The sequence below is a fragment of the Homo sapiens genome, chromosome 1 (assembly GCF_000001405.40).
Source record: "Homo sapiens chromosome 1, GRCh38.p14 Primary Assembly".
NCBI classification, from domain to species: domain Eukaryota; kingdom Metazoa; phylum Chordata; class Mammalia; order Primates; family Hominidae; genus Homo; species Homo sapiens.
Genome location: NC_000001.11, coordinates 44,070,386 through 44,084,664, shown reverse-complemented (window position 1 = coordinate 44,084,664; position 14,279 = coordinate 44,070,386). Strand labels below are relative to the sequence as shown.

Here is a 14,279-nt window from a genome sequence, read left to right as displayed (position 1 = left end):
TCTGTTGCCCAGGCTGGAGTGCAGTGGCAGGATCATAGCAAGCTGCAGTCTTGACCTCATAGGCCTAAATCATCCTCCCACCTCAGCCTCACAAGTAGCTAAGACCACAGGTACAAGCCACCGTATCTAGCTAACTTTCAAAATTTTTTGAATTTTTAAATTTAAAAATTTTGAGGCCAGGCTGGCCTCAAACTCCTGAGCTCAAGCAATCCTCCCACCTTGGCTTCCCAAAGTGCTGGGATTATAGGCGTGAGCAACTGTACCTGGCAAAAACTTTTTAAGAGCTTCGCTTCCAGGATTAGGCAACTTTAACCTTCAACAGTGATCATAACCCTTAGTTTTCAGATCCGATTATAGGGAAATGTGTAATGTCTTACTGACACACTAATCCCATCACTGCTCACACCACCCACAATTAGCTGAGGATAGTAGAAAGCCAAAATGGGATTTTGAAACATAAATTGGTTAAAATGTATCGACCAAAATGGCCAGATGTCTTGCCTATAATTCTCAAGAATTGTGTACAGGCACATGCAACTTCCTTCTACAGTTCCAGTGACCATCCACTTGGAAAACATTTATGTATAAAATGGGATTTTGCTAGATATTCACAAAGCATTACTGAAGTGTGTCCAAACTTTCCATGCACAGAAACAAGAGTCTAAACAATCACCCTGGTGAAACTGAGCTGGAGGTTGAATATACATGAAGACTAATCAGAGGAAAGAAGCGTCACTTGAACTTTCCTAGAGAGGACGATCCCGGCTTGTACTCACCACCCATGCACCCTGGACCAGGCTTCTCAGCTTGAGAAGATGTCTGCCTCAGGGGCATGGCAGCTTCTTGTGCCATTTTTTTTTTTTTTTTTTTTGAGACAGAGTCTCGCTGTGTCTCCCAAGCTGGAATACAGTGGTGCCATCTTGGCTCACTGCAACCTCCAACTCCCGTCTTCAAAGGATTCTCCTGCCTCAGCCTCCCAAGTGGCTGGAACTACAGGCACCCGCCACCATGCCCAACTAATTTTTGTATTTTTAGTAGAGATGGGTTTCACTATGTTAGCCAGGCTGGTCTGGAACTCCTGACTTTGTGATCCACCCTCCTCAGCCTCCCAAAGCACTGGGATTACAGGCGTGAGCCACCGCGCCTGGCTCTTGTGCCTATTTCATGAGCTTTTAGCCTTAAGAACAACTTGCTGGATATTTTCTATTGGCTTATTATTTGCTCCTTGGATGCCAACTGAGCAGGAGGCTGGGAGTGGGCTAGTTTGTGAGCAAGGTAAGAGGTTACAACTTTCAAGAGAATAATTCTGTCACCAACCTCTCTTCTGCAAGGAAAAAACTTAAGCAATTAACAATTTTCTTTCATTTAACCAAAAAAAAAAAACCCTACTCAATTCTCACCTCAAAAGTTTAAAGGTAGCTGGGTGTGGTGCCTCATGCCTATAATCCTAGCACTTTGGGAGGCAGAGGCAGAAGGCTTGCTTGAGCCCAGGAGTTTGAGCCCAGCCTGGGTAACATAGCAAGGCCTCATCTCTACAAAAAAAAAATTTTTTTTTAATTAGCTGGGTGTGGTGGCATGCCCCGTAGTCCTAGCTACTCAGGAGGATGAGGTGAGAGGATTGTTTGAGCTCACGAGTTTGAAGGTATAGTGGCCTATGATGGCACCACTGCACTCCAACCTGGGCAATAGAGTGAGACCCTGTCTCAAAAAAAAAAAAAAAAAAAAGTTTAAAGACACAGTGAGTGTGCTGGCCCCCTCTGCTCTATGAACAAGAGACCAAATGACGAGGTCAGCTTTACCAAGCAGTTATCACAGTGCTGGTCACATTTTCCCTTCTGAATGTATCAGTTTGGTTTGGGGTCGCGTTTCTAAGGTAGAGACAACTTGCCTTACCAAGGTAATAAGGATCTTCCCCTCCAGAAAGAACAGAATTATCAAAAAGATCAAGAAAAGTTTCAAAATGACTGATGGACCTTTGTCTGAATATTGGTGTATGGCTTTTGTGTGTCAAAAATCCAGGGATAAAAATATGACACTTTTCTTAAACTATCCCTTCTGTTCATAAAGAAACTTCCTATCTCTGAGTGTTGAATCTGTTCTCAGGGAACCCCCATGATACCAATGTCCCTCATCTAGGGAGGCTTTTGAAGCCTGGGGACATACACAAAATTGTTTCTGACTGCTGCTGGTCTAGGACCAATAAAACCCTCCGAATGCACACAGTCCCCGGTGTAATTTCCAATACTTCCACACTCTTTCCACAAATAGCCACCACCATTAAAGGGTTTTAATGTTTCATTCAAAATGGATTAGTTCCTGTGGCCAATAGCCAATGTAATTATAATGAATGTTGTATTAATCCTTATGATATTTCCCTGAGTTCAATACATCACTGTATCTTAATCTTCCGCTATTCAGTTGCTCAATTACCCAATTAGACTGTTGGTGATCATTTACTGGGACTTATTTCATCTGTGGTACATGAGCTTACTTTTGGTTCCTAAGGAATTGGTCTGGCTTATGTGATTATGGGGATATTATTCTGGTTATGCACCACTTCTAGTCTCTCCCCTAAGCAAAATTATGGAATCTCGGAGAAATAACTGAAATGGAAAGGCTCTGGACATTAACTTTCCCAATATATGGTGTTGCCAGGTCCATTAAGAAAAATTATTTAACATTTTAGAACAAGTTGGTAATGTCACATATAATAACATTCTAGATGATGTAACAACAAAAAAGACTTCTGCCACTAGCGGTATGGCTCACTACATATTTTGAAAAGCTCTTCTTTAAAATATATTGATAGTGGATACATTTCAACAAATAGATATTTATACACTTAGGAGTACAAGGAACTAAGGAAAATCTCTAGGAGCCTGAAACAAACACAAAAAGCTGAAATCGGTGATGTGCCCATATGGAAACAAGACTACCATGGGGAGGCCAAGTGCAGTGGCTCATGCCTGTAATTCCAGCACCTTGGGAGTCTGAGGCAGGTGGATCACTTGAGGTCACGAGTTCAAGACCAGCCTGGCCAACATGGCAAAACCCCATCTCTATGGGAAAAAAAATACAAAAATTAGACAGGTGCGGGGGTGGGCACCTGTAGTTCCAGCTGCTTGGGAGGTTGAGGCAAGAGAATTGCTTGAACCCGGGAGGTGGAGGTTGCAGTGAGCCAAGATTGTGCCACTGGACTCCAGCCTGGGTGACATGAGACTCTGTCTCAAAAGAAAAAAAAAAAAAACTACCATGGGGAAAATGCCAATACTAGAAACCTAGAGCTTTGAGTTTTGAGCTAAGCTTCGTTTAAACCTAGTGCTTTAAACTAAACAGATTTAGTTTAACATGAGATAGTGTTACAGAACCAACAATAACAAAACAGATTAACTAAATCTGTTTAACTGAATCTGATTAACTAATTTTTTTTTTTTTTTTTTTTACAGGATCTTGTTCTGTTACCCAGGCTGGAGTGCAATGGCGCTATCTTGGCTCACTGCAACCTCTGCCTCCTAGGCACAACAGATTAACTAAATCTGTTTTGTTACTCTATCTTACAGTGGTATACTTCCTCATGCAGTAGATTTTCTTTCATATTAGTTGTCCATTTTGATTAAATTAACATATAAGATTAAATTATGTAAATTTGAGGTGGGGTGCGGTGGTTTCTGCCCATAATCCCAACACTGTGGCAGACCAAGGTGGGTGGATTGCTTCAGTCCAGGAGTTCGAGACCAGGTTGGGCAACATGGTAAAACTCCATCCCTACAAAAAATACAAAAATTAGCCACGCATGGTGGCACATGCCTATAGTCCCAGCTACTTGAGAGGCTGAGGCAGGAGGATTGTTTGAGCCTAGGAGACAGAGGTTGCAGTGAGCCGAGATCACGCCATCGCACTCCAGCCTGGGTAACAGAACAAGATCCTGCAAAAAAAAAAAAAAAAAAAAAATTCAATATAATTCACCATGAATTAAAGAAGAAAATATGAGATCATCCAATTAAAGGCAGATAAAAAGGATTTGATAAAAATTCAACATACTTTTAAAGAAAATTAAAATAGTGGAAGGACATGCTTTATCAGCTACCAAGACTTATTGTAAAATACGATAATTAAGACACAGAGAGAGCCTGGTGCTGTGGCTCACGCCTGTAATCCCAGCACTTTGGGAGGCCAAGGCGGGCATATCACGAGGTCAGGAGATGGAGACCATACTGGCTAACATGGTGAAACCCCGTCTCTACTAAAAATATAAAAAATTAGCCAGGGGTGGTGGTGGGCGCCTGCAGTCCCAGCTACTCGGGAGGCTGAGGCTGGAGAACGGTGTGAACCCGGGAGGCGGGGCTTGCAGTGAGCCTAGATTGCACCAATGCACTCCAGCCTGGACGACAGAGCAAGACTCCGTCTCAAAAAAAAAAAAAAAAAAAAGACACAGAGGGGCCAGGTACGGTGGCTCACGCCTGTAATCTTAGCACTTTGGGAGGCTAAGGTGAGTGGATCACGAGGTCAGGAATTTGATACCAGCCTGGCCAACATGGTGAAATCCCATCTCTACTAAAAATACAAAAATTAGCCACGCATGGTGGCACGCACCTGTAATCCCATCTACTCAGGAGGCTGAGACAGGAGAATTGCTTGAACCCAGGAGGCAGAGGTTGTAGTAAGCCGAGATCACGCCACTGCACTCCAGCCTGGGCGACAGAGTGAGACTCTGTCTCAAAAAAAGAAAAAAAAAAAAGACATGGAGGGATTAGTGCAGGCACAAATAGAAAAATGGGTAAAACAGACAGGCTAGAAATGGACCCAAGCATATATGGATTCCTGATATATGACAGAGCCGTCACCAAAGAACAATAGGGGAAGGATGTTCTTTCCAAAACATGGCACTCAGACAATTGGCTATCTGGATGGAAAAAATGAAGTTGAACTCTGATCTCATACCATATATGAAATATTTTCCAGGAGGATTAAATCTGACTGATTTGTCAATCAGGTTCCGGTCAGGAAAAAGAAACCATACCAGTAATTTGAACAGGGAAATTTTAATATAAAGAATTACTAGGCCAGGCGTGGTGGCTCACGTCTTGTAATGCTAGCACTTTGAGAGGCTGAGGTGGGAGGATCGCTTGAGCCCAGGAGTTTGAGACCAGCCAGGGCAACAGAGTGAGACCTCACCTCTATGAAAAATAACAAAAAATGTAGCTGAGCATGGTGGCGGTATGTGCCTATAGTCCCAGCTAGTTGGGAGGCTGAGGTGGGAGAATTGCTTTAGCCCAGGAGGTCGAGGCTGAACTGTGATTTGCGCCAACACACTCCAACCTGGGCAACAGAGCAAGACTGTCTCAAAAAAAAAAAAAGGAGAAGAAAAGAAAAGAATGATTAACTAGTCACAAGGGGTTAACTAAATTATATGTGCAGAGAACTCCGAATAATACAGGCATAGCAGATGTAGGGAGCAGACACCCTCTCTATGGTGAAGGCAGAGTACCAAGGAAAGGAGTAAGCTTGGAATAGAGCTGCCCATGAATTAAAGAAGAAAATATGAGATCATCTAATTAAAGGCAGAAAAAAGGATTTGATAAAAATTCAACATACTGTTAAAGAAAATTAAAATGGAGGAAGAACATACTTTATCAGCTACCAAGACTTATTGTAAAATATGATAATTAAGACATGGAGGGGCCAGGCACGGTGTCTCATGCCTGTAATCCCAGCACTTTGGGAGGCTGAGGCTGAGATTCAGACCTCCCTGTAGAGGGTGTCACTGTGCTCCACTGGATGGGAGAGAAGGTACCACAGACCAGGGTGGCAGGAAGGAAACGGTCCACTGGGGCACTGGTGAAACTTGCTAGGAAACCACCTGTTGTGGGGGTGCCTAGCTGGGAAGCTGCCTGCTGGCATCCACACCAGTGGAACAAGAAGGAAAAGCGGCCGGGCACAGCAGCTCGTGTCTGTAATCCCAGTACTTTGGGAGGCCGAGGTGGGCAGATCATGAGGTCAGGAGATTGAGACCATCCTGGCTAACACGGTGAAACCCTGTCTCTACCAAAATACAAAAAATTAGCCGGGCGTACTGGCACGCACCTATAGTCCCAGCTACTCAGGGGGCTGAGGCAGGGGAATTGCTTGAACCCAGGAGGCGGAGGTTGCAGTGAGCCGAGATTGCGCCACTGCACTGCACTGCAGCCTGGCAACAGGGCAAAACTCCTTCAAAAAAAAAAAAAAAAGAAGAAGGAAAAGCCCCAGAACCGGGAAGAGGAGCCCCTTCCTCTGGCAATGACCCTCCAGCAATTTCTTCTGGCAAGATCTACCATTGTGTCAGGTGACAAAGCAGAAATGTTTACAAGGTCTGGCTCCAGTATCACAAAGCAGGGCAAAGAAGATTGGATTTGGAGTCAAGCAGCAATAAATTGCATAGTAACTGTGTAACTACCTAAATGTGAAAGGCAAAATCATAAAGCTTTCAGAAGGCATTATAAAAGAATAGCTTGCTTCATGGTTTCAGTGTTATTAAGACATCTACAGCACCAACCATAAAGGAACTGATTGATCATTTTGCCAAATTAAAGTAAACTTCTGTTCAACAAAAGTCATCATTAAGGCAGCAAAAAAACTAATCCTCAGAGTGGGAGAAGATATTTGCAGCATATATAATCAATAAGGGACTAGTATCCAGAAAATATAAAGAGCAGGATGTGGCAGATGTATTTTCCAAAGACGGCTGCAACAATAACTCCAATTCCACGTACTTCTGTACAATGTGACCTTGACATTCCCTCCACTGAGACAAAAGACCTATATCTGCTCACCTTTAGAGATTCACTTATAACCAACAGAATGCAACAGAAGTAATGTTCAAGGCCATACACTGCTGCCTGGTTTACCTGGGACACTCGCCTTTGAAGCCCTGAGCTGACATGTAAGAATTCTGACTGTGTAGAGGCCTGTGCTTGAAGAAGCAGAGATCACACGGAGAAACTCCATGAAGGTTTTCTAGCCAGTTGCCCCAGCTGAGGCCCCAAACAATAGTCAGCATCAACCACCAGACATGTTAGTGAAATACCTACAGATAATTTTACCCCTCAGCCACTGAGTCACTTCCAGACTTTGAGTCTTACCAGCTGAATCCCCAGACATCACAGAGCAGACACAAGCCATACCTACTGTGTCCCGTCTAAATTAATGAACCATAGAATTCACGAGCCTAGTAAAATAATTGTTTTATGCCACCGAGTTTTGGAGTAATTTGTTATATAGCAGTAGTTAACTGGAACATCTTACAAATCCATTTTTTTCTTTTTTCTTTTTTATTTATTTTTTGAGACAGAGTCTTGCTCTGTCACCTAGGCTGGAGTGCAGTGGCACAATATTGGCTCACTGCAACCTCCGCCTCTTAGGTTCAAGCGATTCTCCTGCCTCAGCTTCCCAAATAGCTGGGATTACAGGCGCACACCACCACAACTGGCTAATTTTTGTATTTTTAGTGGAGGCGGGGTTTCACCATGTTGGCCAGGCTGGTCTTGAACTCCTGATCTAAACTAATCTGCCCGCCTCGGCCTTCCAAAGTGCTGGGATTACAGGAGTGAGCCACTTTTTCTTTTCTTTTTTTTTAAAAAAAAAGAAAGAAAAAGGCTGGGTGCAGTGGCTCACACCTGTAATCCCAGCACTTTGGGAGGCTGAGTAGGAGGATCACTTGATGCCAGGAGTTCAAGACCAGCCTGAGCAACATAGTAAGACCTGTCTCTATGGGAAAAAAAAAAAAAAAAAAAGGCCAGGCATGGTGGTAGTGGTGCACACCTGTAGTTCCAGCTACTTGGGAGGCCGAGATGGGATAATTGCTTGAGCCCAGGAGTTCGAGGTTTCAGTGAGCTATTATTACATCACTGCACTCTAGCCAGGGCAACAGAGCAAGATTCTGTCTTAAAAAGAAAGAAAGAAAAAAAAAAGACAACCCAATAGAAAAATTAGTAGAAAACTTAAACAAGCACTTCAAAAATGAAGAAATCCAATAAACATAGGAAAAGTTAGCCAACCCCATTCATAATCAGGAAAATGCAAATTAAAACCACAATGAGATACACTCAACAAAATGACACCATTTTTAAAGTCTGACATTTGAAGAGGTGATGAAGAGGTGGAGTAATAGGAATTTCCTTCACCTAGATCCTCTTGAAAGCAGAGTCTGAGACAAGGATTAATGTGGTAATGCTTTCTTTGGGATGTGCCAGCTCAGGGCAGTGAGGGTGAGGGAGGAAGAGAAGTGAAGCAGAGGAAGATACAATACAATGTTATTGTGCTGATTGCTGCCTTGCAGCAAGCTTCCAAGAGACACAGCAGGTTGTTCATTAAATGTGGTCATGCTTCAAGTGGGAAGGGTTGCAAGGAGCAATGAGAAGGGAGGGAGATTTATCTTCCTGGTTTCCTCCCTTTTCCTGTTCCCATTAGTCAAGGTTTGCATCACATGGAGCTATTCCTCTGCGAATCCAGACATCTCCCATGGGCCTCTGGCTGCCTCCATGGTGTGGCTTTCATCTAAATCTGAATGTAGACAGGTGACCAGGTGCAGTTTGGGTGCTTAGAAAGAGAAAAGAAGGCAATTAGAGGAATCTGAGAAGGCACATGAAGTTTGTGTCATAATAAGATTCTCATACATTGCTGATGGAATACAGAATTGGTGCAACCACTTTGGGGAAAGGTTTGGCAGTGCATGCTAAAGTTGAAAATGTAATACCCTACAACCTAGCAACTCTACTCCTAGGTTCATGACTTTTAGAAATTTGTGTACAGATTTACAGAACCAGATCACATAAACAAAAATGTTAATATCAGCATGTTTTGTTGTAGACAAAAAGTAGAGGTAATTCAGGTGCCCATCAAAGGGAGAATGAGCAAATAAATTGTTGTTTGTTCTCACCATACACATGAGGAAAAAAATGTTTCATAATTTACAGAAAATAGGGAAAAAGATGTCAGTCTGAAGGAGCTTGGTTAATATGGACCTTGAACAAAATAGGATTCTCAGAGGATTGTTACATTGGCAAGGCAAATCCAAATATTGTTTAGAAGAGAAAATGACGGACTTCAAGGACTCTACTTGGCTGGCCTTAATGACACTATGTTAGAAACACTTATTAGACCCCGGTCTAATAATATTTGTATTTGACCCTGGTCAAATAATAATATTTGAATACCTGGTTCAAATAAGCATTCTTTCTTATAAGTCAAATTTACATACAACAGGAATGGTAGCAAATTCAACTGTGATTTTTACAAAACCACATGCGTTGTGATTTTATTCTAGCCATGAAAAAAATGTGTGCCCTCCTTAGTAAATAACACTACTATACATTCCAGAAAATGCCAAAGTATCAAACACCAGATTGAGAATTGAGACCTATGCTGTTATGCTGTTGTGTTGGTAGCTTACTAAGATAACTAGAAACAAAGTTACATGAGGAATTATAATTATACTGGGAATAATAGCTTTGTGTGTATGTGACAATAACTAATGTATACGTGTATGTGTGTGTGTGTGTGTGTGTGTGTGTGTGCATTTTGTTAGCCAGGCTGGTCTTGAACTCCTGACCTCAAGTCATCTGCCTGCCTCAGCCTCTCAAAGCACTGGGATTACAGGCATGAGCCGTCGCACCCCACCTTGATAATTCCTCTTGAAGGTAAGAAGAATACAGAGTAGTTATAACCTGGTGAGCAATGCGAGAAGCCTTGTCCACTGACTGGTCAGTCTGGAGCAGTGACTGGGGTCCCAAGTGAGATTCCATTTCAATTGCTCTGTTTTTCATGACTTATAGACACTGTTCCAGGGTTTCCTGATATTATAAATAAAGAAGAAAAGGGCCTTCTGAGAAGTCAGATTGTTTTTTAGCACAAAGACTATTTTAATCTCTCAGGCTTGGAACCCTAGTCGCAATGCTTGTGATAATGCCAATATTTGTAAAAGCATACTTTAGAAAATTTCAGAAAGTCATTTATTATGTCTGTTGCAGGAAATAGTGCTGGTTCGTGAAATATGCTTGTTAATATTTACTGAAGTCACTAAGTGAGAAGAAGCAGTTCCCTCTGTCTTTCTTCCCACAGTTGCTTATATTAACTATGTCCCTGGCAGCTTCTAGACACACAGTGCAAAGCTGTCTGTCTTCCCCTGGGTGGGCAGACTGGAATGGGGAAGGTATGGTGGCAGAGATGGAGATCTCTTGTCAATGACAAAGGAACGGAAGGGGAGAGAGGTGGAACAGACACGGCATTGGTAATGGCAACAGAAGGCGGCTAGCCACAATGGTGGCATCAAAAGGCAATGAGGATGAGGAGAGGGGATGTTGATGGGGACAGAGACCAGAGAGGAGAAAGGAGTTAGAAGGGGAATTAGGGGAGGGGAGGAGGAGATAAAACATAAACGAGATGAAGATGGGTACACATGGGGTGAGGATGGTACGGGGGATGATGGTAGGGGCATGATGAGGATGACAGCAGAAATGGGCCTGAATGTTTGCTTGGACAGATGGGGAAGGAGAATGGGAAGAGATGTGAGTTATAGATGAACGGAATAAAAATAAGGGTAGAATGAGAACTGAGCATGTTGCAATGGACATGGAGAAGAGACTCACTTATTCCTTCTTTCTCAAATATTGTTGGGGGGGCAGCTACTGCGTGCCAGGAACTATTCTAAGAGTTGGGGATACAGTGGCAAATAAGACTAAGTCTCTTCCCTCATGAAACTTTTGTGGTAGTAAGGAAAACAGAAAATAAATTTGTTATATTATAATGAGAAGTGCTACATATGAAAGTAAAGGAGAAAAAAAAGTAAAGCAAAGAGAGTGATGGAGAACATCATTCTAGAAAGGTGGTCAGAAAAGACTTCTACAAAGAGCAGACACTGGAGCCGAGGGAAGTGAAACAGGAAGCCAGGCAGGTGCCTTAGGAAGGGCTCCCCAGGGGAGTGCAGCAGTGCTCAGGTCCCTCCCAGCCAGGGCCAGCCTCTCTGCTTGGGGAATGGATCTCCTCCTCTCTCAACAAAAGGATTCAGTTCCTCAAATATTTCTCTTCTCTTGCCTCTCTTTTCCCTCTCTACTGGATCGATCTCAGAAATACACAGAAATAATCTGCTGTTATTTACCATATCCTTGAAAAAAAATACTGTCATGGGCCAGGCATAGTAGCTCATGCCTGTAGTCCCAGCACTTTGGGAGGCCGAGGTGGGTGGATCACCTGAGGTCAGGAGTTGGAGACCAGCCTGGCCAACATGGTGAAACCCTGTCCTACTAAAAATACAAAAATTAGCCAGGTGTGATGGCAGGCACCTGAAGTCCCAGCTACTTGGGAGGCTGAGGCTGGAGAATCGCTTGAACCCAGGAAGCAGAGGTTGCGGTGAGCCGAAATTGCACCATTGCACTCCAACCTGGGCGACGGAGTGAGACTCTGTCTCAAAAAAAAAAAAAAAGAAGAAGAAGAAGAAGAAACCTCTCATGATCCTAACTTTCCCTCCAGCTCACACCCATCTTACTGTACCTTTTTACAGCAAAATTTCTTGAAAGAATTGTCTACCCAACTACTCCAATTCCTGTCTGTCCTTTCTCTCTTGAACATGTTACAATAAGCTTTTGCTGACACCATTTCCTGACACTGCTGTTGTCACCATCATTAATGACCTTCCTCTTATTAAATCTTATTCACTCAATTCCCAGACCTCTGCTTACTTGATCTTTGACACAGCTGATCACTTCCTCCTCCTTCAAACACCTATTTCTCTAGGCTTCTGGGATGCTACGTTTTCCGATTTTCCTCCTACATGACTACCTCTTCCTTCTCCAGCTCTTCTCTCCAGCCTCTTACTGTCAGAGGCTCTGGGGGCTCCTGGGCCTCTTCTATTTTCTATTCACATTTATATCCTTGGTGCCCGCATCTACTATTGTGGTTTTATTTCTTTTTATTTATTATTTTTGTTATTATTATTTTACAGACAAGGTCTTGCTCTGTCACCCATGCTGGGGTGCAGTGGTGTGATCATAGCTCTCTGCAGCCTGGAACTCCCGGGCATCCTCTTGCCTCAGCCTCCCCAGTGGCTAGGACTACAGGCATGTGCCATCATGCTGGCCTATTTATTTATTTATTTATTTATTTATTTTTGTAGAGACAGGATCTTGCTATGTTGCCCAGGCTGGTCTCAAACTCCTGGCCTCAAGGGATCCTCTCACCCCTCCCAAAGTTCTGGGATTATAGGCATGAGCCACTGCAGCTGGCCCACTCTTGTGGTTTTAAATACCACCCACACACTGATGACTCACAAATGTGCAGCTCCAGCTCAGATTAGTCCCCTGAATCCAGACTCTTAAGACCTGACTGGATTTCTAAGGGGCATTTCCATTAACACATCTAAAACTGTCCTCCTTGTCTTCCCACCCAAACCCACACTTCCCACTATCTTCCCATCTCAGTGCAACTCCTTCCTTCCAGTTGCTCAGGCAAAAAACAAAAAAAAAAACCTGGGTTCCTTTCTTTTTTCTCTCCCCACACACCCAAATCCATCAACAAGTCCTGTTGTATCCGCCTTCAAAATATGTTCAGAATCTTACCAATTCTCACCACCTCCATCATTACCACCCAAGTCCAAGTCACCATGATCACTTGCCCAGTCATGATTGTCCCCCCGTCCCCCCCCAAAAAAAAACAGTAGGAGGAAGAGGAGGAGGCAAAGGGCAGCCCAGGTGGCAGAGGGGAGCAACAGTGTGATGGGGGTGGAGGGGAAGCTCCAGGTAGTTAACTACTACCGGAGCAGACAGCAGGTAGCCAAGAGTGTGGAGAGCTATGCTGAGGTGGTCTCAGGAACCAGAACGTGGGAAGTCTGGAATGCCACCCTAGGAGCTTGGATTTATGCTGAGCCAACGAGGACCCATAGAAACCTCACTAGATTGGCTTCAGCACGGAAAATGGGTTGAGGAAGTAGAGACTGGGAAGCCCAATAGGAGGCATTTGTGACCTGCCAATTGTAGCAGTGACTAGGACAAGGGAGGTGGCCATGAAAGTGGAGGGAAGTGAGCAAATTCAAGCTTTTGAGGAAGGGGAGCCAACAGGACTGTTGGTTGTAGGCAGGGTCATAGGAGAGAAAGGCTTGAGCTTGGGGCCTGAGTGGATGAAGATGCTTCTCACTGACACAGGGAAGGCTGGAGAAGGAAGGGATCATGGGGGAGATAAGGAATCAATTTTGGACTTAGTGAATTTAAGTACCTGAAAGAGTTCATGGTTGGATATAAAGGCCTAGAGCTAAGGAGCCAAGGGTGAGCTGGGAAGATATTTAGAAGTAACCTAAGTGTAGACTGTGACTGAAACCATAGGAGGGGTGAGCTGTGGAGAGGGATAGAAAAGACCCAGCTCAGAGCTCCAACAACACAAACATTTCCAGGAAGAAGAACCTTGAGGAAGTCAGGAAAGGAGGGGAGTAAGAAGTGGAAGGGAACCAGGAGAGCTGTTGGAGAATACAGCTGACTTCTGCTGAGAGGGTCACAGCTGAGCATGAAACACGCCCATTGGATTTATCACAGTGATGCTCATTGGTAACCTCGGGAGGAGCAGTTAGGACATGATGGTGTCTGAAGTTGCAGGGGGTTGAGGAATAAGAGGTGAGGAAGAGGTTTGACCGCAGGGCTGAATTAACACCTTTAAAAGATTATGGTTCCCATCCTCCTACAAGTAATACAAAGTGAGTTTTTTTATTTTCAAAATAACATAAAAATATATAAATGTTAAAATTAAAATAAACTTTCTAAATTATTTTAATTGCAGTTAACTTACTTGCAAATTTGTATTAAAAATAACTGTCCTTCCCCTTCCCCTGTTCAATAATGCTTATTTGCTGTGTTGTCCTTCTTTGTTGGTGCCTCAAACATGTGCTTTGTTTGTCTACTTGGTAATCCCGTAGGGTTTGGCTCTGATAAAGACAAGGGAGGTGGGAGGCTCACTGGAGCCCAGGAGTTCAAAGCTACAGTGTGATCATGCCCCTGCACTCCAGCCTGGGCAACAGAGCAAGACCCTGTCTCAAAAAAAAAAAAAAAAAAAAAAAAAAGACAAGGGAAAAGGGAGAGGTGAGAATGTGGGGTAGAATGGATTTTCAGCCATAAAAAATAACGAAATCATGTCTTTTACTGCAACATGGGAGGAACTGGAGGCCATTATCCTAAGTGAAACACCTCAGACACAGAAAAACAAATACCACGTGTTCTGTCTTATAAGTGGGAGCTAAATAATGTGTACATGTGGAAGTAGAGTGT

General features: G+C 43.5%; 1 protein-coding gene and 1 long non-coding RNA gene across 4 annotated transcripts in view, besides 2 other annotated features; one reads left to right on the top strand and one right to left on the bottom strand.

The window, feature by feature from the left end:
• The window catches only part of KLF17 (KLF transcription factor 17), a 91,214-nt gene that overhangs the window by 50,476 nt on the left and 26,459 nt on the right, over window positions 1-14,279 (bottom strand). The window lies entirely within an intron of this gene.
• LOC124904169 (uncharacterized) overlaps window positions 9,576-14,279 on the top strand; it is a 30,287-nt gene continuing 25,583 nt past the window's right edge. Inside the window, exon 1 of the long non-coding RNA XR_007066056.1 lies at window positions 9,576-9,674. This is a non-coding gene — a long non-coding RNA (uncharacterized LOC124904169). The remainder of the gene's footprint in view (window positions 9,675-14,279) is intronic.
• Window positions 10,885-10,934: a silencer, noted in NCBI's record as "silent region_806". NCBI's record gives its function as "represses an Ori minimal core promoter by ATAC-STARR-seq in GM12878 lymphoblastoid cells {active_cell/tissue: GM12878}" and the evidence as "EXISTENCE:reporter gene assay evidence [ECO:0000049][PMID:35858748]".
• Window positions 11,015-11,064: an enhancer, noted in NCBI's record as "active region_934". NCBI's record gives its function as "activates an Ori minimal core promoter by ATAC-STARR-seq in GM12878 lymphoblastoid cells {active_cell/tissue: GM12878}" and the evidence as "EXISTENCE:reporter gene assay evidence [ECO:0000049][PMID:35858748]".